General features: G+C 34.0%; 1 long non-coding RNA gene across 1 annotated transcript; it reads left to right on the forward strand.

Annotated features, from left to right (window-relative positions):
* The first annotated feature begins 247 nt into the window (after nucleotides 1-247).
* On the forward strand, nucleotides 248-1738 carry LINC02329 (long intergenic non-protein coding RNA 2329). The gene is made up of 3 exons (NR_135155.1): nucleotides 248-327; nucleotides 1153-1434; nucleotides 1590-1738. It is a non-coding gene; the product is annotated as a long intergenic non-protein coding RNA 2329 (long non-coding RNA).
* Nucleotides 1739-6355: the final 4617 nt, after the last annotated feature.

A 6355-nucleotide genomic window follows, 5' to 3' on the forward strand; every position in this document is an offset into this window, starting at 1 on the left:
TTAATCATGCAATTATCAAGTCGCTAAGAAAGGCTGAAGAGTTAAGTAAGATAATAAAGGTATCCCCATCCTCTTGGGAAGCTCCAGGAAAGCTATCATGTGCTAGCGTGTTGTATTGAGCTGAGAAAGCAGCCTCAGAATAACACAGAATGAAAACCATCTCTTCTTACAGTTCACCAAGTCGAGGTGCAAATTATGGTCACACATTTCTAATATTCCTATGATATGATTTTGAATTATCTACTGGCCCTTTTCACACATTGGATTCCACTTGCCTAATCTCTGTGATGCATACCAAAAACTCCAGGAAGCTTAATCAGCCAAAAGGTCAGTCCTGGTCACTATAAATTCACAGGGAATCAATCAGAAAACTTGTTCTGACTGCCTGAAGACCATCTGCTACTATGCTGGCTTCGGCTGGCTCAGCTTGCTGTTGAAATAGGAAGTTCCATTAACTCATGTAATAGTTGTTGAAGTGTTGCTCCGTCTACCTGGTGTGCATATGTGCATGTGCACATGTGTGTGTACATAAGTGTGCATGCATTTGTCTGTGTATGTAGAAAACTGTAAAAGTTTTAATTTGTGACTTGACAAGTATTAAAGAATGAGGGAGAGAAGGGGTCAGATTGTGGGTGACTTTGTTACAGGCAAAAGAGAGTTTCAAGTAGAGGGATGAAAATCAAATTGCACTTATGTAGCTTGCTTTGTTGCAATGTGAAAGAGGGATTAATAGGAGAAATGCTGAAAATACAGGTATGAGTAGGAGACTTTTCAAACACAAGGGCCTGAACCAAGGCAACCATTAATATAATAGGAAAATGGGAATGTATACAGTTGTAAGTATTCTTGTATAATCTAAAATTTCATAAAGCATTTAAGACTTAATTTTAATTCATGCACATGAATCTGAATACCCTCTCTTTCAAAAAACTATATTGTCTTATGGTTTATGAATTGGCCATTTAACTATTCATTTATCATCTGTTAGTTCATTATTCAAAACTTCATTTTCTGATGAAGATGATCAAAAAATATTTGTTGAGGTTAAAGAAGTTAAGCAACATGAATAAATTATCTTGGTTATTAGTTAAAGAGATTACTATGCCAACATTTTAGGCTGACATCCATTCTGTTTTTGCTTCACTGTTACAGAACTGAGGGGACAAGTCCACTCTATGGCCAAATGCATTAACTGAAAGAGAGCAATCTTCACTGAAAACCAAAGTTATTTCAAAGATTGAGGATAAACTTCCAAGGATTATTAACCTAATGGCATAATTATTCTGCATGATTCTAAAGATCCTCTCTAAGTTCATCAAGTCATCATGTTTGAACATTCTAGTGGTCCCTGCATTACTAGCTGACTGGAGAGTTGAAAGAAAATGAAGGAGGTTTTGACTGGTCGGTCACACACAGTCTTCACTGAGAAGCTAGGTGTGTGTGCCAAAGGTCTAAATTTTCTGAATTAAATAACTAAAATGATTAAATTAAAGCCCCCCTCAGTTCTGCCTTCTATGTATATTTTTGCCTAGCCTCTTACTCTGTTAATTCCTATGAACTGTAAGTGATCATTGTCCCTTCTTCAACAGTATTCCTCTTCTTCAACAAAAAAGAAAATTCATAAAATGAAATCTACATAATTGCATCTCCTAAGGATTATTGGAAGACTACAATAAAGCATTTTGTCAAATGAATGTGCTGAGGTAAAAGAAAATAAATAAACAAATAATTAAATGGATTTACATTGTTTGTCTGTAGGTATTCCCCTCCCTTTTAAAAAAATACAACTATGACTTTAACTGATTTTTAATGCATCTTTGTCTTTCTTAAAGAAAATATTTTTAGAGCTAATATGTTTTTTAGCCATGTAGTATTGCAAGGGAAGATTATATTTAAATAGATTCAATTGGTTGTTGGGTGAAATGATTAGAAAGCCTTGGGAAATAAATTGTCAAATAATAAGAACTTGTCCATTTCTCATGGAGCGTGGGCTTCACTTTCTGACTCTCTGAGAATCTTGCAATTACAGATAGTCATTTAATAAAAATGAGAATCAGTTTGCATGCTCCTGTTTCTAAAAACACAAATACAACGTACAGGGAAAGAATTTGCTTTTAGCATTTTAAATTAAATTTACCATGAAGTTGTAATATGATTTCCCTCAAGTTCTTTTAAATTAATATTTAATATTCTGTACTTGGTGTAAAAATTTGGTTGTAATATGGGCTTATGAAAAGATAATAGGAAAAACAGATATAAAATGTTTGGCAGCTGTCTTTCCTCTTACCTTTTTCTCTGAGTGTGAGCTGTGCTGAGGCCACAAGCCTGCTAAGTCTATTTTGTGTTTTGTAACATGATACTATACACTGGGTAATTTATAAGGAACAGTGGCTTATTTCTTACAGTTCTGATGGCTGAGACGTACAAGATCAAGGGGTGGCATCTGGTGAGGGTCTTCTTGCTATGTCCTCCCATGGTGGAAGGTGGAAGGACAAGAGAGCACAAGAGAAAGAGGGGGGATGAACTAGCTTTTATAACAATCCCATTTTCTCAATAAACCTACCTCTGTGATAATAACATTAATCCATTCTAATCACCTCTTAAAGATTCCACCTGTCAACACTGTCACATTGGGGATTAAGTTTCCAACACCTGAACTTTGGGGAACACATTCAAGCCATAGCACATGCTAATCAAGTGCTAAAGTGAGCTCTCTATTGCCTACATACCAATGTATGGATCACACATGGTTTGAAAGTATCAAGTCTTTCAGCACTTATCAACTTAATGATACATCAGTATAAAAAAAACATTCTAAAGGAATAAGTTACTTTAGTGGTCATCTGGAAAGCAATATAAACATAGTCAGTTTTCAGTTGGTCTAGAAATAAGAATGTTGACGGGCACATTTCTCCCATTCATACGTCCCATTTGTTGCTTGAATCAAGTTACAGACAACTTTTCAGCCTGTGAACATTTAAAATAAAAGAATTTCATTAAAATGCAAAGTTATTTTTATTTTCATAGTGCTGTGTTAACATTTTTATACTGAGAATAACGATAGTCCTACCCAATGTGTTTGGATACCTGCTAACATCTGTATCTATTTTATTATATGTTTCAAGATAGGATGAGATAGGGGTTAGATCATTGCTGTACTAAAAGGAGACTGTTCATTAGGTAGCACATGTAAGAAACATCTGGCAAAAAGAGCTTTGCCATTTCATGTAGATTCTTCTCCATTTGCCCAGGAAGATCCAGGATAGAATGAGGCACTCATTAGAAATGAATAGTCTCTTAATTCCTCTTTCTACCAGCGACCCTTTCAGTATAATGAATATTTATTTAGATAAACAGCATGGTGGTCCATATTCCGGTTGTAATCTTTCGTCAGATACTTGTCCCAGAAAGTCTTTTATTTCAAAGGTTTTTACTGCGTTGTTGTCATTTGTTTTGGGATTGTTTAGATTCATTATTTATCTTACATGCTAGATACGCCTTTTAGTCCATGGATGCCATTGAATTTATTTTTAATTTCCTAAAACTTGGCACAATTTCTATAACATAAGAAACACTCAATAAATATGTTTCCATGGTTTTGCTTAGGAAGGAAAAAATGAATATTATGTTTATGTTTCTAATCATAAGCACAGATCTCTCTTGCTGTACATAAATATTACCCCGCAATTTAAAAATTGAACTCTTTTTTCTTAGAATGAATATGTAAAGAGAGACAGAGAGTAGGAGCAGAGGTACTAGTAAGAAATTGTGTGCTCTAGATATGTGATAAATCTATCCTTAATAAACTAGTAAGTTCTTGTTGTTTTTCTTCTTCACTCTTTTCTCCTCTTCTGTTATCTTTATTACATGAATTAATTCCCCTGAAATAAGTCTATCAAAATGGAAATTTGAGCCAAAATATATGAGCACTATGAAAAATGTGTTCTATCTCTTTCACAAATACACTCATACACATACACACACTCTCTCACTCTCTCTCTCTCACTCACAAACAAAACCTTCATGCAATGTTAGAGCCGAATGAAAAGTTAGAGAACATTTTCTGTGATTTACTCTTCACAGGGGATTATGGATAGAAGGCTCTGATTGGGGATATGGATTATAGAGCCAAACACACCTGGATTTCAGTCTTGAGACATTTGTTACTTAAGTTTCAGTTTCTTCATTGATAAAATTGGCAAAATAATACTAATTAATCAGGGTTGTTTAGTATGATAACAAAATGATGTACTTAAGGTATGTGTTGCTGTATATAGAACATGGCTGCTCAATAATTTTAGCAATTATTTTTTCCTGAATCATATATGAAAATGAGGTGGTATTTTTGCTTATGGCTTTATCGTGAATGTGTTTTTATAGACATGCTCTAACCGACTTTAAATTTCACAAAGAATTATTGTCAAAGTCAATAAAATTGCAGCCTGTTGCATTTTGTCTTTTACAGGCATGTAGTGAATGAGAAGAAATAGTGTGACATTATAAAAGAAGCATTGCAATAGGAAAAACGTGAACCGAGTTTCAAAACTTTGGTCTGACACCCTTTTTGTATAAACTTGAACCTGTTCCCTGGTGGTTTTGGGCCTGAGTTACTTCACCTTATAAAGAATTACATGATCTCACTCACAGGAAGGCAGAAATCTGGGCCAAACCCTTGGTTTTTCCAGTCATTTGCAGATCAGAACTCTATATTCCTATGAATGGCTTTTTCATACGTATTTATGTTACACTTTTTTTAACATGAAGTTGTCATGGACTAAGTAGAAAGAAGCTAGACCAGCACAGTCCAATAGAACTTTCTGTAATGAGGAAAATGTTCTTATCAGAAATTGCTATGGTAGCATTAGATGGTATGGTATCTTATGAATCAGTAATTAATATGGTAGCAATAGCCATGTGGCTGGCTATTTAGCACTGAAAATATTGATAATGTGACTCAGATACTGAATTTTTAATTGGATTTTAATTAATTTAAATTTAAATATAAAGAGCTACTTGTGGCTGGTGGCTAGAACGTGGGACAGATCAGACAAAACTACAGGAAGTCCTCAGCTAACGTCCCCGATGGGTTCTTGGAAACTGCCACATTTTAAGTGAAATGACACATAACAATACCATTTTTTTCATCAACCTTATAAAGAAATGATGTTGAAGAAAATGATGTTATTTGAGGACTTGCTGTACATCTTTTGCTTAAAGTCACAATTTCTAAGATTCTCTGGGTGATGTTAATTGAGGACTTACTGTACAGAAAAGGGTCAAGTCAGATGCACCCTGAAGGCCTAGTTATTGTGTTAAAATAAATTTGACAGATTATTAAAAGAGCTCATCTGTTTTTAGAATAGCAATATACATGAGCTCATGAGAGCAAACATACTTCGAAAGGAATCTGCTTACATGTGACAGAGCCTTGACATAGGAAGTGGTAATATCCTGTACTTAATTTTTAATTGACAAATAAAACTTAAATATATTATCATGTACATTTTTTGAAATATGTATACATTGTAAAATGGCTAAATCAAGGTAATTAACATATACATTATCTTACACTCTTACTGTTTTTTTGTGGTGAGAACAATTAAAATCTACTCCTTTAGCAAATGTCAAGAATGTAGCATATTGTCATTAACTGTAGTCACCCTGTTATGCAATAATTATTCTTAGTTTCTTCTAAGTATTTCTCTATTGTATTAAAAATGAGTGTTGCTGATTAAAATCTCGTGCTTAGAAGGCAGTGTGGGTTGGATTCCCACCCTATCTCATCTTGAGTCCTTTCTGATTTTGGGTTATCAAACAGTGCTGAGTGAAGGAGAAGGATGGCAATTTTGTAGAACAGAATTTAGAAATTTGTATCATGTGCTGCCCCGGTTTTTGACACTGTGTAAAATAAAAAAAAAAATTATTTTGGGTTATAATAGGTCATTTAAGGGAATACTGGAAAAGCAGATGGCTTTTTAGTAATTTGGGAAATCCTATAAAATATCTCAATATTTTATTTAATATTTTTATCTATTTAAAATACCTAATATTTAACAGTTTATTTAAGTGAAACCTGAATACAAAATGCAGGTTTTGTTTTTGTTCAAAAACTTTCATTCATTTATCCTGCAATTGTTTTTAAAAACTACAAAGCAATCATTTCACAGTGTTTCACATTTCACCAAGCACTTCTATGAGCATATGTCATTTGGCTCTCAAAATAAAATAGTCCTACTGCTCAGGTGTCATAGTGGTCCTGGCTTTTTGTCTGTTTGTTTGTTTGTTTCTAAGATAATGAAAGTGAGCTTAAGCCAATTTGAGTGACTCCGGTGGGCTCATAATTGAGTGTTAGAAT

Source organism: Homo sapiens, chromosome 14 (genome assembly GCF_000001405.40).
Source record: "Homo sapiens chromosome 14, GRCh38.p14 Primary Assembly".
Classification (NCBI taxonomy): Eukaryota; Metazoa; Chordata; class Mammalia; order Primates; family Hominidae; genus Homo; species Homo sapiens.